Source organism: Homo sapiens, chromosome 17 (assembly GCF_000001405.40).
Source record: "Homo sapiens chromosome 17, GRCh38.p14 Primary Assembly".
NCBI classification, from domain to species: domain Eukaryota; kingdom Metazoa; phylum Chordata; class Mammalia; order Primates; family Hominidae; genus Homo; species Homo sapiens.
In genome coordinates, this window is record NC_000017.11 from 73,912,124 (window position 1) to 73,940,118 (window position 27,995).

At 41.1% G+C, this 27,995-nt stretch overlaps 2 long non-coding RNA genes across 4 annotated transcripts in view; one reads left to right on the forward strand and one right to left on the reverse strand.

Moving 5' to 3' along the window:
* Positions 1-21,523, forward strand: LOC107985081 (uncharacterized). 2 transcript variants are annotated; one of them, XR_001752999.1, is made up of 3 exons: positions 1-112; positions 1,030-1,100; positions 21,395-21,523. It is a non-coding gene; the product is annotated as an uncharacterized LOC107985081 (long non-coding RNA). The 2 variants fall into 2 exon arrangements; XR_001752998.2 differs by lacking the exon at positions 21,395-21,523 and adding an exon at positions 2,070-3,707.
* The window catches only part of LOC105371888 (uncharacterized), a 25,305-nt gene continuing 10,742 nt past the window's right edge, over positions 13,433-27,995 (reverse strand). For both annotated transcript variants that reach the window (XR_001752997.1, XR_934962.2), the window contains exon 6: positions 13,433-14,533. This is a non-coding gene — a long non-coding RNA (uncharacterized LOC105371888). The remainder of the gene's footprint in view (positions 14,534-27,995) is intronic.

A 27,995-nucleotide genomic window follows, 5' to 3' on the forward strand; every position in this document is an offset into this window, starting at 1 on the left:
CTATGCTCCTTTGCTCAGGACTGGGATGAGGGAGATGACTAATGTGTGACGCCAACATGTCACGCCACACACCGGGAAATACTAACGCATAGGCTTCCATTCCAGCAGTATGGTGAGTTAGATACTTTCACATTCCTTTTGAAACAACTAAAATTATTGGGGGAAATTTTTTTAAATACCACTTTGGAAATGCCCATGTGGCACATGAGGAAGGGCTCCACAGAACCCCCAAAGTGGAACAGAAAGTAGCCAAGCCAACTTTTACCCTGAGAATTTCTACTGAAACTTGGAGAACTTGGCTTCAATTCCTCCCTCCCTCCCTCTCTCCCTTTCTTCCCTCCCTCCCTCTTTCCTTCTTCCCTTCCTCCCTTTCCTTCCTCCCTTCCTTCCTCTCTCCTTCCTTTCTTTCCTTTTCTTTCTTTCCTTTCTCTTTCTTTTTCTTTCTTTCACTTTTCTTTCTCTTTCTTTCCTCCCTTCCCTTTCATTCCTTCCTTCTCTTTCTTTCTCTTTCTCTTCTCTTCTCCTTTCCTTTCCTTCTTTCTTTCCTTCCTCCCTTCCCCTTCCTTCCTTCCTTCCTGTCTTCAGAGTCTCACTCTATTGCCCAGGCTGGCGTTCAGTGGTGTGATTTTGGCTCATTGCAACCTCCACCTCCCAGGCTCAAGTGATCCTCCCACCTCAGTCTCCTAAGTGGCTGGGACAGAAGCTGACTGCCTGCCACTATGCTCAGCTAATTTTTCTATTTTTTGTAGAGATAGGGTTTTGCTATGTTTTCCCGGCTGATCTTGAACTCCTGGGCTCAAGCAATCCACCCATCTTGGCCTCCCAAAGTGCTAGGATTACAGGTACACACCACCATGCCTGGCTAATTTTGTATTTTTTTTTAGAGATGGGTTTCACTGTGTTGCCCAGGCTGGTCATGAACTCCTGGGCTCAAGCAATCCACCCTCCTCAGCCTCTCAAAGTGCTAGGATTACAGACGTGGCCACTGTCCTGGCCTCAGACTTCTGTTTTGATGGTTGTCTAAAACAGGGCAACAAGAGAAATATCCTCAATCTAATAGAAGCACACATCAATCTGGGACCACAGAGAGTATTCATCAGGTAAGGATGAGCAGGCAATACACCTGCCACGTAGAAAAAGGTGAAGGGGAAACTTGCTTGACTTGTTCAACCTTGGCATTTGGGGAGGGAGGAAAACAAACTTACTTGAGACTGTGTAATCATGAGCCAATCTTCACAAGGGTCTATGGTCATCATTTTAGCTACCTGTAGTCCAAAAAACCTCAAGGGGGAAATTAAACAAGTTGTCCTAGTTTGGTAGACCATGGCAGAAACCAATGCAAATCCCCTCTGGGAAACTCTGCTTCCACATGACTTACAGAATACTTACAAAATTCTAAGAAATATGGTGGCCCAAAGTCAAAGGTCCCCAGAAATTATCCTGTTAGGACTCCAGGAAGACAGAATTTAAAAAAAGGAAAAAGAGAATGAGAAGGTCTAGCATATGTTTAATCAAAATTCCAGAAGGAGATGATACAAGAAAATGAGAAAAAGATAGTATTCAAAAAGATAATAGCTGAGAACTTTCAAAATATTTTTGTAAGACACACATTTTTATATCCAGGAAGCTCTGGTGGTATCTGATGCTATTCCTGGATGGGAGGATTGGTGCCTTGAAAAAATGTTTGGCACTTCTACTTTCTACTTCTTCTTCTTAGTTTGTAGAAAGTTGCCAAAAAAAAAAAAAAAAAGTTGCTCTCCTCCTATCAAGAAAAAGCTGGATAAATTACAGAATACCAACTCTTCCTGGACCCATCAGAGAGATGAAGTCACAAGGTAACTAAGTAGCCTGGAATCCACAAAGGAGCAAGGCCCTCCAAGGAGAGAAGAGATGCATGAATGACCTACCTCCCTCGTGGCAGAACAAGGGAGGAGGAGGTTCTGCAGCCTAAGTGGCAAGGAGAGTCAGCTACAATTTTAAAGAACCGCTGAAGGCCCCGTGTGCACTAGTGTATCAGTCTGAAATAGATGCAAGCATCTGCTAAAACAGGAATTCCTGTTTACTCACAGGATATTTCCCACGAGCCTCTGACGGGTGCTCTGAGAAAGATTTGGGCCGGCAGGACACCTGAGAGAGCCACCATTTGCAGCGCAGACCAGCAGAAGGTGATCAGCTGCCACCGTGAAGGAGACAGAAAACTCTGCCATTTCCCTAGAGCTTCCTCTCATATGAAGCAAAAGCCTTAAACCACTAGAGGAGGAAGTGCAAACCCTTTTGCCCACTGGGCACAAAGTTAGTGATCAGTGGCTATAGGGGTGGAGAGAGCAGGTGCAACACCCTGTCCAGACCCTTCTCTCCTACAAAGCAAAAGCCATAAATCACTTGAAGAGGGAGAGCAAAGCCTCTTGCACCCAGGCAAAGACACAACGTGGTTAATGAAAAGATGTAACAAAAACTCCAATGCTGGGTGATGAGCAGGTAACTGTCTTGGGCTCAAGGGCCCATGTTGATATTAAGTAGACGTCTCTTACCACTGGAGGAAGAGCAGGAAACGCCTGTCTAAGACCCACCAAAGCAGTTTGACTACTGAAGGAAGAGACCACATGGGGCAACAGTGCTGGAAAGGCTTTACCCCCAAAGCTCAGGTACACAGAGTCTCCCTGAGACTAAAGCTGGACAAGGCAACAGAGAACCTTCCTGCCCCCTCCACAAGCCTATCAGGGAGTACCCAGAAACAGCAGTCTACTGCTGGGGAAGGACAAAGCATGGAGAGAGATCTACTTTGTGACACAGGCATTGAAAGACTGGGTGAGTTGAGGGTGGACCACTCACACTGTGAAAACCCTCCAGCACGCCAGCCTTGACCCTAAATATAGGCAACAGCAGCACACTGATCGGAAACCTGGAAGCCTGCGGTCCAATAATGGTAACCATAGCAACAGCAAAATCCAAATCCAGCTCAACCTGTAGCTAGCATGACTCACCCCTCCACCTAATGACCCAAAACAAGAAGCATGCCCACTTCCAGGCATGCATATGATCTATCTTTTGCTAACCAGTTTTAGTGTGATATTTGACATTCAATCAAAAATTATGAGACATTAAAAAAGGGCAAGAAAACGCAAATTATTTAAAAGAGATAAAACAACCAAAAAAATAAGACTCAGATATGATCTTCATGTTAGAACTATCAGACAAGTACTTTAAAATAATTATGATTAAAGTGCTAAAGGAGCTAGTGAAAAAGTGGGCGGCATGCATGAATGGATGTAGAATTTCAGCTAAGAGAAAGAAATTGTAAGAAAGAGTAAACTGGGAATACAAGAAACAAGAAAAAAGACAAAATCAGAGAAAAAAATTTCCTTTGATGGGCTCATTAGTACACCCAAGACAGCAAAATATGTCAATAGAAATTACACAAACTGAAAAAGAAAAAGGAAAGGGGAGAGAACTGGATTAGAATATATATGAGCTAAAGACATACACAATGGCCTAATATATATATAATTGGAGTCCCAGTGAAAATGATTTTCAAAAATCAAGAAAAACTGAAGACTTTTACAGACAAAGGCCAAAAGAATTTATTACTAACAGGTCTGTACTGTTAAAGGAAGTTCTTGAGGCCCAGAGAATATGATACCACACAGAAACTATACCAAAAAAAAACACCTTCAAAAATGGTAAAAATAAAGGTAAATACAAAAATATTATTTTCTCATTTTTAGTTACTCTAAAAATAGTTGTCTTGTTAAGCAAAAAAAAGTTATATTTTGGAGATATTTTGGGGTTTATAATGTGGAAAATAAAATGTGTATCATCGATAGCACAAGCATAGGTGGAAGAAATTGAAAGTATATAGTTCTTATATAATATAGTGACTTAGTATAAAACTATTTGAAGGTAGACTGTGATATATTAAACATGTTAAAAACTCTGGGACAACAACTGATAGTTTTATTTATTTTTATTTTTTGTTGATATGGGGTCTCACTATGTTGCACAGGCTGGTCTCTAAGCTCCTGGCTTTAAGTGATCCTCCTCCCTCAGTCTCCCAAAGCGCTAGGATTACAGGCATGAGCCACCACACCTGGCTCAGACTTTTCTTAAAAAAGTATAATAAGCCAATAATGGAGATAAAATTGAATCATAAAAATTAGTCACAAATCAGGCAGAAAAATAGAAAAAAAAGAAGAGATGAGACTAAATAGAAAATATTTAGCAGTATAGGAAAATTAAATAAAACCATATCAGTTATAACACTAAATTTAAATAATTAAAATGTCCCAATTAAAAGACAAAGATTGTCAGACTGCATAAAAAAGCAAGACTCAACTATGTGCTATATCCAAGAAACAGAATTTTAATATAAAGACATAACTGGTTAAAAGTAAAATGATGGAAAAGGATACACTCATGCAAACCATGCAAATATTAATTGAAATAACTAGAGTAGCTACATTAAAAGTAGTAAAGGTAGACTTCAGATCAGGAAATATGACCGAAATTAAAGAGGGGCATTGCATAATGATTAAGGATCAATTCATCAAAATGAAATAATTTAAAGGTATATGCACCTAACAGCAGTGCTTCACAACATATAAAGCAATTACTGTCAGAGCTGAAAATAAGTAAATACATCCACGAATAGAGTTAGAATGTCAACATTCCTCTCTTATTAATTGATTGAATTAGTAAACAGAAAATCAGTAAGGACATAGAAGACCTGAATGACATTATCGACCAATTTACTCTGACATTTTATAGAACAACCCAATCAACAACAGCCCGTGACACATTCTTTTCAAGTGCATGTGGATCATTCCATAGAATAGACCATATTCTTGCCACAAAACACATTTTAAAACACCGAAATTATACAAAGTATGTTTTCTAACCACAACTCAATTAGAAATCACTAAGAGACAGATATATGAGCACTCAACAAATATTTGAAATGAAATAATACACTTCTAGTGAGTTGAAGAGGAAGACACAGGGAAATTTTAAAATATGTTTGAACTGAGTAAAAATAAAGGCAACATATTAGAATTTGTGTGATGCAGCTAATAGAGTGTTTGGGGAAATTTATAACATTATATACCTGTATTAGAAAAAAATAAGTGTCTCTGATCAATTACCTAAGTTTTGGCTTTAAAAACCTATAAAAGGAAGAGCAATTTAAATCCAAAGAAAGCACAAGGAAAGAAATAATAAAGATAAGAGCAGAAACCAATAAAATTGAAAGAAAAAATTGATAAAAATTAACAAAATGAAATACTGGCTTTCTGTAAAGGTCAATCAAATTGATAAACCTCTAGTCAGACTGATAAGAAATCAAAAGGGAAAGACAGAAATTACCAATGATGGGAAAAAAGAGGAGAGCTATCACTCCAGAGCCTACAAATACTGAACGGATATAAAGAAAATACTATAGACAACTATATGCCAATACATTTAGTGACTTAGATTAAATGGACACTTTTCCTCAAATATAGAAACTATCAAAGCTTATTCAAAAAGCAATAGATAAGTTGAATAGTCCTACATATATTAAAGATATTAAATTTATAATTAAAAACTGCACACTGTATGTAGTCAAAAACCTTCCCACAAAGAAAACTGTATGCCCAGATGGCTTCATGTGCTCCATGGCAAGTTTTTCCAACATTTAATGAAGAAATAATGTAAACACTACATCAACACTTCCAGAAAACAGAAAGGAAGTGAACACCTCCTAACTTAAGATGAGAACAGTATCACACTGATACTAAAACCAAACACATTACAAAAAAAATACACAGAAAACTATAAACACAGACCAATACCCTTAATGAAGAAAGGTGCAAAAAATCCTTAACAAAATATTTAAAAAATAAATTCAGCAGTATATGAAATGACAGTACATCATGACCAAGTTAGGAGTTTATCGTGGGAATGCAAGGTTGGTCCAGCCTGGGTGACAGTGGGTAACCCTGTCTCAAAAATAAAAAGAAAAAGAAAAAAAAGAGAAAAGAAAAAAAATGAAATTTTGAAAGTTTTTTAAAGTACCACTTACAATATTACCAAAACCAATAAAATACATGTATAAGATTTATATGCTGAAAACTACAAAGCACGGATAGGAGAATCAAAGATCTAAATAAATACATGATGATATATAGGATGTGTCAAGATGTAAATTTCCCCAAAATTGATCTATAAATTTGCTACAATCAAAACTCAGCAGACTTCTTTATAAAAGTCAACAAGCTTATTTAAAAAATTCATTTAGAAAAGTAAAGGAACTAGAATTGCCGAAACAATTCTGAAAAAGAACAAATTTGGAGGCTTATATTATTTGATTTCAAAACATACTATATATCTACACTAATAAAGACAGTGTGGTAATAATGAAAACATATCCAGAAACAGGGCCATAAAAATATGGTTAACTGATTTTCAACAAAAGTGCCGAGGTAATTCAATGGAGTATGGATTATTTTTCACCAAATAGTACTAGAATAATTTGACATCTATGTGCAAAACAAAGTCTTTGACACATACCTTACACAATATACAAAAAATAATTTGAAATGGATCATAGACAATGTGAGCTCTAAAATGATAAACCTCTAGAAGAACACATAGGAGAAAATCTTTGTAAACTTGTTTTTATTTTGGAAAGAAAACAAAAAGCACAAACCACAATGAAAAAAATTAACAAATTAGATTTCATTAAAATCTCAAAATTCTGCCTTTTGGAAAGGCATGTTTAAAACATAAAAGGAACGAGCCATATAGGAAGAGAAAATATTTGAAAAATACATGTCTGATAAGACTGTAACCAGAATACATTTTGATCTCTCAGAACTCAATTATAAGAAAATAACCTAATTTTAAAAACGTTTTAAACTTGTTAAAAGATTTGAACATATATTTCATGAAAAAAGATATACTGATATGGTTTGCCTGTGTCCTCACCCAAATCTCATCTTGAATTCCCTTGTGTTGTGACAGGGACCTGGTGAGAGGTAACTGAATCATGGGGGTAGGTCTTTCTTGTGCTAGTGAATAAGTCTCATGAGATCTGATGGTTTTAAAAAGGGGAGTTTCCCTGAACAAGCTCTCTCTGCCTGCTGCCATCCATGTAAGACGTTACTTGCTCCTCCTTGCCTTCTGCCATGATTGTGAGGCTTCCCAAGCCACGTGGAACTATAAGTCCATTAAAACCTCTTTTCTTCCCAGGCTCAAGTATGTCTTTATCAGCCGCATGAAAATGGACTAATACTTATATACATATGGCAAATAAGCACATAAAAATATGCTCAAAATCATTAATACTAGAGAAATGTAACTTAAAAGCCAATTAGATATCCATGCATACCTATTAGAATGGCTAAAAAACAAAACAAAAATAAAACTTTGACAATACCAAATGCTGGCAGGGATGTGGAGCCACTGGAATCCGTATACACTGCTAGTGGGAATGAAAAATGGTACAGCCACTTTGGAAAACAGTTTGGCATTTTCTTATAAAGTTAAACATATGCTGACTGTATGTGGTAGGCTGAAAAATGGCCCCCTAAAAGGATATGTCCACATGCTAATCCCCAGAACCTGTGAATATGACCTTATACGGCAAATGGGTGAGTATGATCTTATATGGCAAGAGATGTAATTAAGTTAAGGACCTTGAAAATAGTTAATTCTGGATTATCCCAGTGGGCCCTAAGTTCAATCACATGTATCGTCATAAGAGAGAGGTAGAGGGCCCGGGTGTGGTGGCTCATGCCTGTAATCCCAGCACTTTGGGAGGACAAAGTGGGCTGATCACTTGACCCCAGGAGTTTGAGACTAGCCTGGGCAACATAGTGGGACCCGATCTCTACAAAAAAATACAAAAATTAGCCCGGCATGGTGGTCCCAGCTACTCAGGAGGCTAAGGCAGGAGGATCACTTGAGCCCAGGAGGTCAAGGCTGCAGTCAGCCGTGATTGCACCACTACATTCGAGCCTCAGCAACAGAGTGAGACCCTGTCTCACCAAAAAAAAAAAAAAAAAAAAGGAGAAAGACACGCAGAGGGAGTCTGGGACAGAGACAGATGCACAGGGAGAAGGCCATGTGGAGATGGAGGCAGAGATTGAAATTACGCAGCTGCAAGTCAAGGAACATCAAAGTTCGACCACAGCCACCCACAGGTGGGAGAGAGTCATGGAACAGATTCTCCTCTTAGAGCCTCTGAGGTACTGCAGCCAAGCTGATGCCTTGATTTTGAACATCTGGCTTCCCAGAACTGTGAGAGAATACACTGCAGTCGTTTGAAGCACCAAGTTTGTGGTCATTTGTTATGGCAGCTTTTGGGAACGAACGCACGAGATAACCAGAAAATCTCCCTCACACATATTTACCCAAGAGGAATCAATTCATATATCCAAACAAAACCCTTACATGAATGTTTAGAATGACTTTATTCATAATTGTCCCATACTGGAAACAACCAATATGCCCATCAACTGGTAAGTAAACAAATTACGATTCACCTATTCAAAGGAATACTACACATTGATTAAAACAAAACAAAAAACAATGATACATGCAGCAACATGGACTCTCAAAAGCACCACGTTAAGTAAAATAAGTCAGAATCAAAAAGCTCCATGCCACATGGTCTTATTTATGTGACATTATGGAAAAGGCAAAAATGTAGAAATAGGAGACAGATAAGTGGTCACCAGAAGCAAGGGATGTGGGGAAGGAACTGATTATCAAGGAGCATGAGGAAACTTTTTAGGGTGAGGCAATGGTCTATGTTTTGATGGTGATGGTTAAATGACTGTCTGGATTTATCAAAATTAATAGAACTGTATACCTACAAGGAATACAGTTTACTGTATATAAATTATGCCTCAATTAGCTTGAAAAAATGTACGAAATGCCAAAGCAAAAGAAATTATCCTAAAAGCATCAAGAGTGAGAAGACAGAAAACTTACAAAGAAACAGTCATTAGGCTGGTGGCTCACTTTTCCACAGCAACATTGGAAGCCAGAAGACCATAGAATAATTTAGCTTCAATATCCTGAAATAAAATTACTGCCAACCTACCATTCAATATTCCATGTAATCAGTCAGAGTCTGTCAGCAAAACAAAAATAAGTCTAAATATTTTAAGCAAAAAAAAAAAAAGAAAGAATTAACATAGGAAATTAGGTGCTTGCAAAATTGTTGGAAGCACTGGAGGAGTGAGACTCAGATGTTGCAGGTGATAAACTCAGAAATCAGAAGCAAGAAGCTGCAGGGGAGGCCCCAAAGCTGGAGGCAGAGTGGACCATGAAGTCTGTGCATGCTCTTGGAAACTGCCATCACTGCTGATGCGTCCACTGGCACTGCCAGAGGAAGGTTTACTGCCAACTTCTTCATGCCTTCCAAATCTCAAGCAACTAGAATGCTGATGGCAGGGAATTCTGAAATTAGGGGAGTGAAACTACAGCAGTAGTTAGAAAAGATTATAGCAAATAACTTTGGAGATGCGATCAGAATAGCCTTATGTGATTCAGAAGAAATGGAAAGGTATTGGTTAACTTTAAGCCTTATTAAACCAAGTATGCATACAAAATAACTAGAATAACTCCGAAATTAGATGGGCATAGAGTACATAATCCCGAAATAGATGGGAAAAATGGAATAATAATTAAAAAAAAAGAAATTAAAAAGTCATTCTAAAAGAAAGAGAAATACAAAAATCCAGATGAAAAGCATATTAAAGGGATAGAAATTAATCTAAATGCAGGTTGGGTGTCTATAATCTGAAAATTCAAAATCTGCGATGTTCCAAAATCCAAAACTTTTTGAACACTTATATGATGCCACAAACTCTACACCCAACCTCATGTAATGAGTCGCAGTCAAAACTTTGGTTTCATGCACAAAATTATTTAAAATACTGTAAAAAATTACCTTCAGGCTATAGGTATAAGATGTACATAAAACAAATGAATTTCATGTTTGGAATTGGGTCCCATCCTCAATATATTTCATTATGTATATGCATATATTCCAAAATCACTTCTGGCTTCAAGTATTTTGGGTAGGGGATATTCAACCTATATGCAGTATTCATAATAAATAAGAATGAATTCAATTTTTGAATTAAAAGCCCAAGATTATCAGACTATTTTCTTTAATCTAGCGAAATGTGGCTTAGACAAGACAGAAAAAACATGAAGTTTGAAGGTCAAACATAAAAGTTAAGTTTAAAAAGGGAGGAAGATTTAACAAGAAAATACTGAACAAAAGAATTCTGGTGAAGTTATATTGATATAAGATAAAACAGACTTTTAGACTAAAAGTATTACTAAAAACATTGGGACTTTCTACATAATGATAAAATGTTTAATCAAAAAAATGTAATAATTCTAAACTTTCATGCACCAGAACCAAAATGCAAAATATGTAAAGTAAAAATTGACAATACTACAGGAAGAAATAGAAAAGCACAATCATAAGTGAGAGATTTTTATTTATTTATTTATTTTTATTTTTGGTTTTTTCAGACAAAGTCTCACTCTGTCACCCTGACTGGAGCACAATGGCGTGATCTCAGCTCACTGCGACCTCCGCCTCCCAGGCTCAAGCGATTCTCACACCTCAGCCTCCCAAGTAGCTGGGATTACAGGTGTGCACCACCACACACTCAGTTTTTTTTTTTTTTTTGTATTTTTAGTAGAGATATGGTTTCACCATGTTGGCCAGGCTGGTCTCAAACTCCCCACCTCAGGTGATCTGCCCACCTCGGCCTCCCAAAGTGCAAGGATTACAGGCATGAGCCACAGCACCAAGCCAACATAGAGATTTTTAATTCATCCATCTCAGTGATTGATCAAGCAGACAAAAAAATTACTAAGAATATTAAAAATGTGGACAGTACAAATCAGAAAGCTCTTATGGTCATATATAGAATACTGTGCCCAACAATAGAAGAATATACATTTGTTTCAAAGCATACATGAAATAGTTACAAAAATTGACTATGTGCTTGACCACAGAGTTAGCCTCAACAATTATATCATATTATCTAGCTCTAATGCACTCAAGTAAGAAATTTAATAATAAAAATATACCCATTAAAAATCTATGTCTGGAAAGTTTACAATATCTAAGTACTGATGGCTTTAAAAAGGAGTTATAATGAAAATTTGAAAATAGAAATATGAATAACTGAATTATAAAATTATTTCATATAAAAATTTTGGGGGTGCAGCTAAAGCAGTATTTAGAGGAAAATATATAACTTTAGCTGCTTATATTAGAACTAAAGGCTCAAAATTAGTGACTTGAGCATTCCATTTAAAAAGTCAAAAGAATAGCAGAATAAACCCAATAAAAACAGAAAGAAGAAAATATTCAAGCTAAGAACAAAACTAAAGGCAAAAATAAAGTTCAATAAAAAGAAATGTCAAAACCAAAAATTGGTTCTTTGGAAAAAAAAAAAAAAAGCTTTTAAAATGACCATTCCTTAGCTAGCAAGATTACTCAGAAGAAAATAAACAGGATGGGGAGTGGAGAGAGAAAGAATGAAAAAATAAACAATATTAGGAACAATATTAAGAATTAAAAAGGGCTTATTACTGCAAAAGCTGCAATTATTAAACAGATGAGACGAGGTTAAGAAAAACTTTATGATAAATTTTAAAACTTAGATAAAAGTGGATAAATTCTAGAAAAATACAATTTATCAAAGAAGCAGTAGAAAACCTGGAGAGTCTAATGACCTTTAAAGAAATTGAATTATTAGATAAAAATCTTCCAGAAAAAAAAAAAAACTAGGTCCAAATGATTTATCAGCAATTTCTACAAAATGTTTTAGGAACTACTTTTCCAGGTCATAGAAAAAGAAGAAACCTGCCCCCATCAGTTTAAAAGATTAGCAAAATCTTAATTCCAAAACTTGACAAGGATGATATGGGCAAGAAAAATCAGTCTAATCTCATGCAAAAACTGCTTAGTAAGGATAGAATTGATCATTTTGCAGTAACAAATTTCAAAATGTCAGTGGTCTTGCACTATGGAGGTCTGGTTCTCTTCCATGTCACAGCCTGTTGCAGGACAGGCAGCTCCGCTCCAGGCAGTAACACAGGAACCCAGGCTGCTTCTCTTTTATGGCTATACCGCCTAGAACATGCGGCTTCCAAAGTTTCCACAAAAGGGGAAGTGCAGGCTGGAAAATCGTGGGATGATTTTAAGGTCCATGCAGAGAAGTGACTACACCATTGTTGAGGATTGACTTGTGTCCTCCAAAATTCAATTATTGAAGTCCTAACCCCGAGTACCTCAGAATGTGACTGAATTTGGAGATAGGGTCTCATGATGTTTTAAATTATTTAATTACCACTTTTAACAGGGTCTCACTATGTTTCCCAGACTGGTGTCAAACTACTGGGCTCAAGCAGTCCTCCCACCTCAGCCTCCTGAAGTGCTGGGATTACAAGCACGAGCCACCCCACCCAGCCCATAAAATATTTTTTATTTGTGACTTTTACATCTCTGTTCATGTGGCAGAAACCGCACAATGTGCTTAGCCCACCACTTCCTTTTCCTGGACATAAAGAAGTGGTAATTAAAATAAGTTCATAGGGGTGGGTGCTAATCCGATATGGCGGGTGTCCTTATAAGAAGAGATTAGGACACAGCTGTTCATGCATAGAGGAAAGACCATATGAAGACACAGCAAGAGGTCGGTCATCTGACAGCCAAGGAGAGGAGCCTCAGAAGAAACCAAATCTGCTGACCCTCTGATCCTGGACTTCCAGCTTCCAGAACTGTGAGAAAATTAACACCTATTGTTTAAGCTATTCTGTCTGTGGTATTTTGTTAGGGAAGCCCTGGCAAACTAATCCAATTATCATTCCCTTAGTAGGAACTCAGTCACATGGTCCCAATCTAACTGCAAAGGAGGCTGGCAGATTTGCTCTTCTTTATGTCCAGGACAAGGAAATGGTGGGCTAAGCACATTGTGTGGTTTCTGCCACATGAACAAATATGTAAAAGTCATGAACAAAAAATCTTTTATGGGCTGGGTGGAGTGGCTCATACCTGTAATCCCAGCACTTCAGGAGGCTAAGGTGGGAGGATTGCTTGAGCCCAGTAGTTCGAGACCAGTCTGGGAAACATAGTGAGACCCTGTTTTACAAAAAATAAAAAAATTAGCCGGGCTTTGTGGCACATGCCTGTAGTCCCAGCTACTCAGGAGGCTGAGGAGGGAGGATTGCTTGGCCCCAGGATGTCAAGGCTGCAGTGAGCAGTGATCACGTCACTGTACTCCAGCCTAGATGACATAGTGAGACCCTGTCTCAAAAAAAAAAAAAAAAAAAAAAAATTCATGAACCCATTAGAAATAAACCCAACAGAAAAATGAGCAAAAACATAAATAGGCATTTGCTAGAAAAGAAAGCAAAATGGCCCTTCACCATATGAAAAGCTGTGGCTCCCGGCTGCTACTCCAAGCGTGGCCTGCTTAGATCACAGTGGTATCCTTTGGGACATGTCTGTAATAAGGAAAATGAAAAGCAAAATCCTACAGAGATACCATCTCATACTTACCAGGTTGGTAAAATGTAAAAGTTTGTCAATACCAAGAGATGATGAAATGTGGGCCAACAGAAACTCTGGTCCTTCACTAGGGTAGAGTGGGAATGGGCATAACCATTTTGGAAAACAGTTTGCCTGTTCATTGTAAGATTTAATGCATGGTTACCTTAGGATCAACAACTCTACTTCTCAGTGTAAACCTAGGTACATAGAGCAGTGCTTATCAAACTCTAGCATGCATACAATTTTGCTAATATGCAAATTCTAATTCAGTAGATCTGGGATAGGACCCTGAAAATCTGCCACTGTTCTGAGGGCTACACTTGGAGTAGCAAACCTTGAGTTTCATAAATCCATATTCACAGCAATATTCATAATAGCTCAAACCCCAAATTTCCACCAGCAGTAGGCTGGGCAAATAAATTGCAGCATATTCATACACTGGAGTATTATTTAGAAGTGAGAATGAATGAACCACAAACACTCACATTAAAAATAGATGAATCCAACAAATATATTCTTGAGCAAAAGAAGCAAGGCACAGAAGAAAATATACAGTATGACTCCATTATATAAAGTTCAAAACTCAGGCAGAGCTAAATAATACCCAGGCACACCTAATTTTAGTGTGCTTCACAAATATTGCATTTAAAAAAAAAAATTAAAGGTTTCTGGCAACCCCGTGTCAAGCGAGTCTATCAGCATCATTTTTCCAACAGCATGTGCCCACTTTGTGTCTTGTTGTTATATTCTGATAATTTTCACAATATTTCAAACCTTTTCATCATTATATCTGTTATGGTGATCTGTGATCAATAATCTTCAAAGTCACCATTGTAATTGTTTTGTGGTGCCACAAACTGTGCCCATAAAAGATGGCAAACCTCATCAATAAATGTGTGTATTCTGCGTCCTCCACCGAGGAGCTGGTCCCTCATCTCTCTCCTTCTCCTCGGGTTCCCTTATTCCCTGAGACACAAAAATATTGAAATTAGGTCAATTAGTAACCCTAGGTGTTAGGGCAATTAATAATCCAAGTGTTCAAGTGAAAGGAAGAGCTGTACCTCTCCCATTTTAAGTCAAAAGCTAGAAATGATTAAGCTTAGTGAGGAAGGCCTGTCAAAAGCTGAGACAGGTCAAAAGCCAGGCCTCTTGCATCAAACAGCCAAGTTGTGAATGCAAAGGAAAAATTCTTGAAGGAAATTAAAAGGGCTACTCCAGTGAACATACTAGTGATAAGAAAGTGAAATGCAGCACTATTCACAATAGCAAAGACATAGAATCAACCTAGGTGTCCATGAACGCTGGATTGGATAAAGAAAATGTGGTTCATATATTCCATGGAATACCATGTGGTCATAAAAAAAAGGAACGAAGTCATGTCCTTTGCAGCAACATGAATGTAGCTGGAGGCCATTATCCTAAGTGAACAGAAAGAGAAAATCAAATACTGCATGTTCTCACTTTTAAGTGGGGGCTGAACATTGCATATGCAGGGACATAAAGATGGAAACAATGGACACTGGGCACTCCAAGAAGAAGGAGAGAGGGACGGGGGTAAAGGCTGAAAAACTCCCTCTCAAGCACTATGCTCACTAACTGAGTGGTGGGTTCAGTTGTACCCCAAACCTCAGCATCATGCAATATACCCTTGTAACAAAACCTGTACATTTAACCTCTGAGTCTAAAATAAAAGTTGAGAAAAAAAAAAAAAAGGAAAATAGACTTATTGCTGGTATGGAGAAAGTTTGAGTGGTCTGGATAGATGATCAAACCAGCCACAACATTCCCTTAAGCCAAAGCCTAATACAGAGCAAAGCCCTAGCCTTCAATTCTATAATGACTGAGGGAGGTCAAGAAGCTGCAGAAGAAAAGTTTGAAGCTAGCAGAGGTGGGTTTAAGGAAAGAAGCCATCTCCATAACCTAAAAGTGCAAGGTGAAGCAGCAAGTGCTGATGGAGAAGATGCAGCAAGTTACCCAAAAGATCTAGCTTCATAATTGACAAAGGTGGCTCCACTAAACAACAGATTTTCAATGTAGAGGAAACAGCCTTCTATTGGAAGAAGATGCCATCTAGGCTTTTCTTAGCTGGAGAAGAGAAGTCAATACCTGGCTTCAAAACATCAAAGGACAGGCTGCTCTCTTGTTAGAAGCTAAGTAGCTGATGACTTTAAGTTAAAGCTAATGCTCACTGACCTTTCTAAAAACCTATGGGTTCATAAGAATTATGCAGAATCTACTCTGCCTTTGCTCTGTAAGTGAAACCAGAAAGCCTTTTGACAGCACCTCTGTTTACAGTATGGTTTACTGAATATTTTAAGCATACTGTTGAGACCTACTGCTCAGGAAAAAAAGATTCTTTCAAAATATTACTGCTCATTGACAATGCACTTGGTCACCCAAGAGCTCTGATTAACATGCACAAAATTAATGTTGTCTTCATGCCTGCTAACACAACATCCATTCTGCAGCCCATGGATCTAAAAGTAATTTTGATGTTCAAGTCCTACTATTTAAGAAATACATTTCATAAAGTTATAGTTGCCATAAGTAGTGATGAGCAACGTGAATTGAAAACTTTCTGGAAAGGATTCACCATCTTTTCATCTAGAGACTCTGTCTTCTAGATGCCATTTGAACATTTGAGATTTATGGTAGGAGGTCAAAATATCAACACTAACAGGAGCTTGGAAGAAGTGGAGTCCAACCTGATGTTGAGGGGTCTAAGATCTCAGTGGAGAAAGTAACAGCAGATGCAGTAGAAATAGCAAGAGAGCTAGAATTAGAAGTAGAGCCTGAAGATGTGACTGAAATGCTGCAATTCATGATAAAACTTGAACAGATGAGGAGATGCTTCTTACAGATGAGCAAAGAAAATGGTTTCTTGAGATGGGATCTACTCCTGGTGAAGATGCTGTGAACATTGTTGAATTAACAACAGAGGATTTAAAACATTACATAAACTTTATTGATAAAGCAGAGGCAGGGTTTGAGAGAACTGACTGCAGTTTTAAAAGAAGGTCCACTGTGGGTAAAAAGCCATCAAATAGCATCTCATGCTGCAGGGAAATCTTTCATGAACGGAAGAGTCACTGGATGCAGCATACTTGATTGCTGTCATATTATAAGATATTGCTGCTGGGCATGGTGGCTCACACCTGTAATCCCAGTGCTTTGCGTGAACAACATGGGAGGAATGCTTGAGCCCAGGAGTTTGAGACCAGCCTGGGAAACATAGCAAGACCCCATCTGTACAAAATTTTTTTTAAAATTAGATGAGCATAATGGCATGTGCCTGTAGTCCCAGATACTCAGAGGCTCAGGTGGGAGAATAACTTAAGCCTCGGAGTTCAAGGCTGTAGTGAGCTATGATTGTGCCACTGCACTCCAGCCTGGGTGATACACTGAGACTCTGTCTTCAAAAAAATAAAAAAGAAATTGCTACAGCCACCCCAACCCTTGGAAACCACCACCCTTGGATGATGATGTGAGCAGCCATCAGCATCAAAGCAAGACCCTCTGCCAGAAAAATGATTGACTTGCTAATAATCAGAGGATTGTTAGCATTTGTTAGCAAGAAAGTATTTTAAAATTAAGGTATGTACATTGTTTTTAAGACATAATGCTATTGCACATTCAATAGATTCCAATATCGTGTAAACGTAACTTTTATATGCAATGGGAAACCAAAAATTTTGTGTGATTCACTTTAATGTGATATTCACTTTATTGTGGTAGTCTGGAACAAAACCCACAATACCTATGAGGTAGGCCTATATTGTTTAGGAATATTTATATACCTTGTAAAACTTTGTGAAAAAAAGAGAGAGAGAGAGAAGGAAGAAAATGCTTAATATGAAGCTCAAGACAGAAGTTACCTCTGGTGGAGGGAAAGAGGAAGGTGATAGGAAATAAATACCTAGGGGCCTTCTCAGGAGCTGCTAATGCTCTATTTCTCAAGCTGAATGGTGAATACGTGGGTGTTTTATTATTACTCTTTAAGCAGTGTATATATACATTACACTCTTTTGAATAAAAAAGTAACAGGAAGCCTTTTTGTATTTAAGTCCCCAGTGACTAGTAAAATAAATCTAGTGGGTTATGAAAAGTCTAAATTTTGAGAATCAAGGAGTACTTGCACCTCTGAAATAAAGCATGCAGACATCTCAGTTTGCAAGTCATGCCATATTGGACACCCAGGAAATAAGATCCGGGACACGCACCCTCTTTCCATCTAAGACTCCCAGCGACAGACAAGGAGACAGGAGGGGGCAGGACTGCAGAGTAAGTACAGAAAGCTAACTGCATCCACGTGTTGACATGGGGCAGAGTGGGCCAGTGCAGAGGATGCGGGTGGGTAACTTCCTGGAACAGCAGGAGAGAAGAGAAAAGGAACAGGGGGAAGGGCTGGAGACACATCATCTCCCATGTCATCAGTTTGGGAAGCTCTTTGGAAAAGCCCACGTTTACTTTCTGAAACCTCATCAAACCTTTCTTCTACTACCTTTAAAAGAATACCCCACCTACTGGCTGTGGGAGCCACAGCCAGGCAGCTTTAACTCTTGAGACACTCAAGATTCTGCGGTCTGGGGCACAGATCCCCCGATTCCAAAGCCTGTCCCTCCCAGACAGGTGTGGTACCTGGGCCAGACTTCTCCCACTTCCATGCTAGGGAGCTCCTTTTTTGCAGCAGCTCTGCTTGCAACTTCCACCCCATGTAAGGGTGATGATGAGATTGGATTTCAACTGAGAGAGAAGCAAGTTATAAATACATCCTGGTGTACTATTAATGTCAATAATATTAGTACAATTATTTCCAGACTAGTCAGATTCAATAAAAGCAACAGTAAACAAGCCTGAGGCAGCCACCAGGTGAGCGCTGTGGGGGCTGCACAGCTGGCTGGCTGCTGAGGACGATGCTTTGCCTTTCTGGCTGTCTCTTGAGCAGGGGAAGCCATGGTGTTTGGCTGCAGTTCTGCCAGCGCCTGCTCACACACCCCCAGGTCCTGATGCCTTTAAGTAACTGAGCAAAGCAGCCATCTCCATTCGTAGCAACAACTGTGCCACATGTGAAAGAAGGAGAGAGTTTGAGCACTATAGGCTACTCACAGGCGATACGTCTGCAAACCCAGAGCCAAGACAGTAGAGTCCGGCTTTGCAGACTCGCCTTCCTGAAGTCCTTGGAATGCTGGCATTCCCTCTAGCACTTCTCCCTGCTTTGTAATTATCCATTTACACGTCTATCATTCCACTCAATTCTGAATTCTCTGAGGACACGGACCAGGAATCCCTACTGCCCAGGACGGTGTGCAGTGCAGAACAAGGCTCAGCAAATGTTGAGTTGTGAAATCTGGGAGGCTCTCTCCTGGCTGTTTGGGAAGTCAGGTCCTTTAGAGGCTAAGAATACAGGCCTGGAGTCAGCTGGGCATGGAATTAAAGGCCTTTTCTCCCACTTATTGGCTGTCCAATTTTGGGTAAGTTACTTCGTATGGTTTGGCTGTGTGTCCACCCAAATCTCTTCTTGAATTGTAGTTCCCATAATCCCCACGTGTCATGGGAGGGATCCGGTGGAAAGTAATTAAATCATGGGGGCAGTTACCTCTATGCTGTTCTTGTGATGGTGAGTGAGTTCTCATGAGAGCTTATTGTTTTATAAGAGCCTTTCCCCCTGCTTTGCTCTGCACTTCTCCTTGCTGCCATCATGTGAAGAAGGACGTGTTTGTTTCCCCTTCCACCATGATTGTAAGTTTCCTGAGGCCTCCCCAGCCATGCAGAACTGTGAGTCAATTAAACCTCTTTCCTTTATAAATTACCCAGTCTTGGGAATGCCTTTATTAGCAGAGAGCAGAGACTAATACATTACTCAACCATTCTGTGTCTTGGTTTCCTCATCTGTAAAATGGAAATAATAATCATCTTTGCTTTATAGGGTTGTTGTGAGGATTACCAGAAGGGATAAATGTCAATGAAAGTAGCATGGTGCCAGGCACATATAGGTGCTAAATAAGCATATTGCTATCATTATTATTATTTTAATGAGCACATTATTATCTGTGATTATTAGAGAGGCAATATGGCAGAGTTCATAAGAGCCAGACTCCCGGGGTTAAATTCCTAGTTCAGCCCCTTTCCAGCTGTGTGGCCTAGGGTCACCGTGGATGACTGGGCTAGAATAGGGTGAGGCAAGTGAGGCACCTAGGACGTAAAATTTAAGGTGGCTCCTCACCTGCCACCCTCTCATCCTGTCCCTATTGAATGAGCCCTTTGCCTCTCTATGCTACATCATAAGTGATAAATGAATGTTAGCTTCTTCTATGGATAAAATGAGTTTCCCTAGAACAACTGTCTATGTAGCGGTCTGTTCGGCTGTTGTATCAGAAGAATAAAGCTGAGCCCATGAGCAAACACAGTGGGAGTAAGCAGTTAAGGGCGTTCAGTGATGGAGAAACAGGGGTGACCCAAATGCCTTTCTCAGAGTGCCCTTGCCCATTTCCAATCAACTGCGTTTTCCTAGAGTTTGTGTGAGTGGGTTTCTGTACCTTGCAAACTAAAAACACTCTCTGACTAAGCAGTGATAGAAAGCACCAGAAAGCAAGCTGGGAATCACATCCAGGAGGCCTTGCAGGCCATGCTAAGGATGTTTGGTCTTGGCTCTTGCTGGCTACTCCATTTCTGATGTTGTTCTTACTTGGGAAATCACGCGCACAACAACCCCCTTGAACACCCACTGCCCGGGCAACTTGCTCCCCCGTCTGCTCACCCAGGTTCCTGTTTCCTCCTGGCTACAGAAGCAAATAAGAGAAGAGGGTCACCGAGGGTGCTCCTATGCAGAGAACATAAAACATTCGGCGCTGGCTTCTCTCCAATCAGAAAGAGATGGTGTCCACTTTATTATTAAAAAGGATAAAACGGTCTTCCCAGCAGCTACCGACCTGGGACTTTAAACACATTTGCATGGAACATTCCCTCTGGCACCATCCTGGAGAATGTCTCTGGCTCTCCTGCTCTCTACAAAGGCCTGTATATCTTTTCCTTGGGCCTTTCCAGCTGAATTTTAAAGAGGGTTTTAGAGAGCGCGTCATGACAAGGGTTCTTCAGAGTCTTCTAAATCATAACGCACAGAACCGAAAGAGGGCTATTTCTTTTCCTAAGAATGATTTGCCCACTCTGATTCAGTGATTCACCCACCCCAGGCACAGGCTAAGAAACTTTGCAAAAAAAATGAGAAACTTCCCATCCTCAATTTTTCCTCCCCAAGAAATCCCTCTCAATCTCCTCTCTTTTGCTCTCCCCTCCCTCTTCCCTCTCCCCCCTCTCTCCATCATAAAATAATAAAACAAACCCAAGTGCATGTAAATCCCTCGCAGTTGCTGTAGAGGGGGCCAGCCAGATGTATTTACTACTAAGTGGATGCAAATTCACTTACTGCTGATTTTCAAAGAAATGAGCCGCCCCTGCCACAATATTGCTTTTCTCATCACCAAATGGGGCCTTTGCTTTGTAATTTGGTGAAGCTGTCAAAACAATCAGATCTAGGAGGCGGGATGGTGTCTGCGTTTTGGCATCCCAAGAGATTGATCTCAGTGGTTGCTCCAGGCAGCTCCACTCAGAAATGTGCTCCGTGGGGGAGGCCATCTAGGGCGTGTCATGGAAAGAGATGGGTTAGCTGGGTGTGGAGCACAGGGCAGAGCCAAGGTCAGGATGGGCTAGACCTCCAGGTTCCTCAGCTGCAAAAGCAGCCCCAGGGAGATGTGGTTCTGGACCACCCAAGGGGCTGCAGAAAGAAAGGTATCGACACACATACTTGTTCAAACCTGTACTCTTTTCTAGGACTTCACAGGTCCACTGGGCCACAGCAGCCGGTCCATGGACTCCAGATCTAGAACCCATGCTGGGTAGAAACCCCTTCAACTGCTCAGGCAAGTCATTGGATCTATCTGAGCCTGACTGGATTTTTCATTTGCAGGAGAAAGTTGACGAATCTGTCCCCATGTTCCTCTCAAGCCCTAGTTATAGGACTTCTGAGGTAAAGGACAAGTTGGGAGAGTATCGTAGTTGGGCTGTTCTGGAAAGGGATGTTAGTCCTCCTGGAGCTGGTTACTAGTACAGGATTCTTGGGGTTACAAATGATGGAAAATCAAGTCTAACTCAAGAAAATTTGCTTCATGCCACCAGAAAGCTGAGAGTATTGGTTTTCTAATTGCTGTTGTAACAAATTACCACAAAGTGAGTGGATTAAAACAACATAAAGTGTTATTTTGCAGCTCTGGAGGCCAGAAATCCAGAAATGGGTTTATGTGGCTAAAACCAAGATGGTGGCAAGGCTGCATTCCTTCTAAAAGATGTAGGGAAGAATTCATTCCTTGCCTTTTGGGTTCTGAGAATGCCTGAAATTCCTTGGCTCACAGCCCACTTCCAGCAATGGCATAACTTTGACCTTTATTTCCATGGCCACATCTCCCTCCCTGACTCTAACTGTTCTGCTTCCCCTTGTGATAACACTGAGCCAACCCATATAATCTGGGGTAATCTCCCCATCTCAAAATTCTTAATCATATATGCAGTACCCCTTTTGTCATGTAAGGTAGCATATTCACAGATTCTAGAGGTGAGGATGTGGATGTCTTTGGGGGCCATTATTCTTTCTGCCAACTTTGGGGAGCAGACTTCAGGTGCTCCTGAAGATCCAGCACAAGGAAGAGGGTGCAAGTGGCTCAAACAGTATCATCAGGGTCTTTCTTTCATCTTTATCTCTGCAGTCTGCTTCCTTCATGTTAGTCATATTCTCAAGGCCATTTCAAATAGCTTTCCCCCTGCTAGCCAAGAAAAATGCTGCCTCTAGCCCTCAATTATGGCATTTCAGATTAGTAGATATTAATAGTTTGGGAAAAAATAATCTTTCCCCCTCTATCTTTCTCTCTGCCCTGGTCCAAATACCAGTCTCTGTGTAGATCCCTTGAATTAACAAAGGGATGCTTGGGAAGAAGGGCACCGGGGAGATATACAAATCCTTGAGACAGCTAGGGTGGGGGTTCATCAACCTAATTTGTAGATTAATCAGCATGTACCCATTTAGTAATCCAAGCTGGTGATGCCAGACACATCAGCTACAAAGTGCTCTAGCAGCAAGCCTGGTCATTATTTAGTCTCTTATAGATCAGGCCAACCACACAGAGCATGTGCAGGAATCCCAGCCCTGCTCAGCCCAGAGCATTGACATTTGTGGTTAAGCAGGGCCCCATGGAAGCCACACACCCGTCCCCCTTGGTTTCACCACGTGTCTCTGTAACTTTGAGGGAAAAGGACCCTCCCTCCTGGGATGGGATGATAATTAAGAGTAATTTCAGTCCTGTTGGGCTCCAGTTACAACAATTACAGGGTTCTGGATCAATTAATACTCACATTTGCATGGAGAAGATGGTGAAATTTAGAATGTAGACCCCCCATTTAGGAGCTATAGCTAGGGTGACCCTACAGCCAGGTGTGCTAGGGACAGTCGTGGTTTGCACCTGAATTATTCATAGTTCTGCTCTTCACTCTCAAAGTGGTCCCTGTTTAAATGATCAGTGTTACGGTTACCCTAATGTTAGTAGAAGTAGAAAAGAGTTTATTTTCCCCTTCTACTGTTTCACTTACCCCTGAACCAGGTGGGGGACTCTAAGGCAGCAGCTGGAGAAGACCCCCAAATCACACAGGTACCCCTCTTCCTTGTGCCGGCTGTAAAGCCAAGGAATAAACCAACCCTTCCCATTGCAGGGAGTGGGAAGCCAGTGATGTGGCTTCCTAGTAGCTGTCCCCAGCCTCTAGACTGTACCGTCTGGATCTGCAGAGGCCTGTTCACTGTCATGCCTTCATGCAGATCTCTGGGGTAAGTGCTCTGTTGCTGTAGGAAAATAACTTACAACTTTTCTTTGAATGTATTTACATGAATGCCTATACCTTTATTTAAATGCATAAATGTTGTCATTACATGATTCATGTGTATGTGTGTGTGTGTGTTTGTGCAGACTCTTAGTTTTTTTTCCTGTTAGTTTGACTTTCCTTGACACCTCTCCTCTGTCCTCCACCCATAACCACTAGAAATTCATGCTAATAGCCTAGTAGGGATCCTTCCACATTTTTCTTCATGATCATATTATCCTGTATAAATATATACATACACACACTACATGTGGTAGACATGTATGTACATACATGTATGTAACTTTTTATACACACCCACATGCATTCACTTATACACATGTGTGCACTTATACATGTATAGCCAGCCTTTTGTCATTATTTGTTTTGCAGAAATATATGATATTCAGTTTCTTGCATCTTGTTTTCCTCACTCAACAATACCTTGGGGAACTCTCTCTCTGTCCTCCAATATTGCTCTAATTGTTTTCAATAGGGCATAATATCGCATGGTATAAATGTACTATAATTTATGCACCCAGACCTCAAGAGTGACTGCTCACTTTGTTTTCATGGGAGAAATTTCCCACATTCACCAAATATAAATGTGTGACACTGGCCGGGCGCGGTGGCTCACGCCTGTAATCCCAGCACTTTGGGAGGCCGAGACGGGCGGATCACGAGGTCAGGAGATCGAGACCATCCTGGCTAACATGGTGAAACCCCGTCTCTACTAAAAAAAAAAAATACAAAAATTAGCCGGGCATGGTGGCGTGCGCCTGTAGTCCCAGCTACACGGGAGGCTGAGGCAGGAGAATGGCGTGAACCCGGGAGGTGGAGCTTGCAGTGAGTCGAGATCACGCCACTGCACTCCAGCCTGGGCGACAGAGCGAAACTCCGTCTCAAAAAAAAAAAAAAAAAAAAAGTGTTACACTTTTGCCCTAATGCTCCTGACTCACATCTGATTCAAAAGTCTTTAAAAACACATGTCGATTTGAAAAATATAATCAGCTGCTATTTTTTCCAAGATGTCACACTGACCCACCATCAAACTGTCGGCACAGCTTGGTACACTTGTTCCCTACGCAGAGTCACAATCAGCCTTTTGTATTCTCTGGTGTTTGTTGTCTGATTGCAATTCTGAATTGGGGTGACCATCAAAACTGGGTGCCTACACAGGAGGCATCTCAATGTATTAGAGAGGGGCCAGTCTTTGGAACAGACAGACCTGGGTTCAAATTCTGATAACCATCACCTATAAGCTGGGAGATTTGGATAAATGCTCACCTTCCCCCAGCCCCTGTTTTCTTTGTCTTTCAGATAGAAATCATGATACCAACCACATAGAGCATTAAATGAGATTATGGGTGCACAGGGCCTGGTCCCAGGGGGCCCACTGCCCAGGTGGCTTTTCCCAACCACAAATTATGAATCATGTTGGACTTGAAGGGGAAAAGTTCAAATTGATCAATAGCGATGTCAGGGGCAAACAGTCCGAGTCAGATAAGCAAACAGAAACAGGTTGTTTTTGGAATAATTGGATGCCCTGTCTTTGTTTGCAGAGCAGCGTGTGCACCATGGATGTTTAAGGAAGCTTATTGCCAGCAATGTCCAGATGACTGGTGAGCCACAGCAAGAGAGGGGCCTGGCTGCGGGAGGGATCCAGAAAGCAGGGAGCTGATGGAGGTTTAGGATTAGGACCTGAGGAAGGGATGCTAGGGCAAGGATGCGGGAGGTAGCAGTGGCCTGAACCCTCCTACACTCTGGCCACAGACTTGATGTGGCAGGAGTAGTTGGGTGGGCATTTTTCCGCCTGGCAGCAGAGGTCGCTTTCTGTCCTCTCCCCACACCATACATCACACTTTCCAACTCCACCATACTCAACCCCCTAAGAAGAAGAAAGAGGAAATGAGCTCCACAACACAGGTCTGTTACGGACTGAATATGTGTGTCCCCTCAAAATGCATATATTGAAGCCCTAACACTCCAGTGGGATGGTATTTAGATGTGGGGACTTTGGGAAGTGATTAGGGTTAGATGAGGTCACAGGGTAAGGCCCCTATGATGGAATGAATGGCCTTATAAGAAGAGGAAGGAAAAGACTAGAGAGCATGCATGCGCTGTCAGTCTCTCTCCCTCCCTCCTTGCCACGGGAGGACACAGCAAGAAGGTGGCCATCTGCAAGCCAGGAAGAGAGGCCTCACCAGGACCCACATCAGCTGGCACCTTGATCTTGGACTTCCAGCTTCTAGAACTGTAAGAAATAAACGTCTATGGCATTCTGTTATGGAAGCCCAAGCTGACTGAGACTGCAGCCCTGCCTTTCCTTTTAGGGTACCCAAAATGGAGTCCTGTGGCCAACACAAGCCGTGTGCCTCATCTCTTGCCATGTTCCAGTAGGGGGATATAGCTGTGGCCAAGACAAGTGGGGAGGTATCTGGGGTGCTCACAGGCAGGGCCTGGAGAGGAGCCCTCTTCTGGGCAACTTACACAGGACTCTGAGATACTCCTCAGCATCTCCCCTCCTTGGTGCTAGGCATGGTGTCTTGCACACAGTGGGAGCTTTATATGTGTTTGGTGAGACATTGATTAAAAATAATAGACAGCGAATACACGCAGATGTGGAGAGAGACGGAACCAGCAGTTGCTAGATTGGAGGAAAGAGTGTATTCCCGCCTCAGCCCCGCCCTGTCCACAGCTATGAATTAATCTGCGGTGGGGAGCGGGATTCCTTCATTAAAATCTCCAAAAAGGGAGTCATATTAACAGCCAGGCACACCGTTCTTTTCCCTCAAGGTAAGAAGATTCATGGCTCAAACTTACATTTTATCACGCACAACCGAATAAAAATGATCAATTTCCCTGCCCGCCTTACAGCATCCTTCCACAGTTATTAAAGTCTCTAAAAATGTTTTCCTTAAAAAAAAAAGGTTAAAAGAAAGAGAGGTGCAGAGAGTGCAAACCAAGAAGAAGCTGGGAAATGCTGCCTAGCTGAGGGCTATCCATCTTGTCAGCTGCAGACCACATAACCTTGATGTCACTATATTTTCTGCTCATATCCAAATTTACAATTTGCCAGCCAAGGATATGGAAATGCCAAACCTCCCCCTTGGAGGTGGATGCTGGAAGGTTCTTAAAGAGCCTGAGAGAGAGGAGCATCCTAGCTCTGAAAACTCCAAAAAGACACTGAGCCTGCTGCTGGACTCTTAGCAATTTTCCCTGAGTTGGGAAAAACCAGCCTCCAAGGTCAAGGAGATGGATTTCAACTCCAGGGCCACACACACATTCAGCAAGAGCCCCTTTGTTCATTGAAGAACAAGCAGGTTTCCACTTTGGAGGGCCAGAAATGTACCTGTGCAAGTTAGGAAATGGGAGGGTTGGGCCACGCAACAAACAAACTCTGGTGTAAACCAGAGTGAAAGAGAAGTGTTTAACCTACAGGAAAGAGCAAACTGCATGCCAGCCCTGCAGAGCTCCGCCTTGCATGCAAACACACAAATGGGTAATTATACATCATTCATCTAGTGGGTCCCCAAGAACCTTTGGTTTGCCATTTTGGTAATTTAATTTTACTAAGTGCCAAGTAATACAATTGTATATCACCCCATTTGTGAATTCCTTCAGGACAAGGATAAGATTCTCTCTCCTCTCTCTCTCTCCCCTACACACACACACACACACAGACACACACACACGGATAAGACTCTCTTCTCTGTCCCCTACACACACACACACACACACACACACACTAGGTGCTTTCTATAGGGCTCTATTTAGGTCTATTTAGTTGAGAATGGTGAAACTATGCTTTAAAATTCCATAATTCGGCTGGGCACAGTGGCTCACGCGTGTAATCCCAGCACTTTGGGAGGCCGAGGCAGGTGGATCACCTGAGGTCAGGAGTTCGAGAACAGCCTGACCAACATGGTGAAACCCTGTCTGTACTAAAAATACAAAATTAGCCGGGCATGGTGGCTCATGCCTGTAATCCCAGCTACTTGGGAGGCTGAGGCAGGAGAATTGCTTGAACCCAGGAGGCAGAGGTTGCAGTGAGCCGAGATCACGCCATTGCACTCCAGTCTGGGCAACAAGAGCAAAACTCTGTCTCAAAAAAAAAAAAAAACAAAATCCATAATTCACAATTTGTTACCAGGTCAGTCTGGTCTCTTTCCAAATTAGTGCTCATTAGTTAGGTCTTCCTGGACTTGTTTCTGAGTGAATCTGGACATCTGTCCTTTGCTCACACTTTGTTAACACTCAGCACTTCCATTCTAACTTCTGGAGGGTTCCCCACATTGTAGATAGGGCCCTGGGGCCCTGCAGCATAGTTGGAGGGTTGCAGCCTCCCAGGAAGGCCCCCTCCATCGCTCTAAGTTTCCCCAGCTTGTGAGAGCCTTGTATCCTTCTGGGAGTGTTTTCCTGCCGTGGCTGGAAGACAGCCATGAATCTGTCTCGGGCCATTTGACTCGGGCTCCCAATGCCAACCCTAACAGACACTTCCATCAGGCCTGACGCGTCAACGATCTATAAG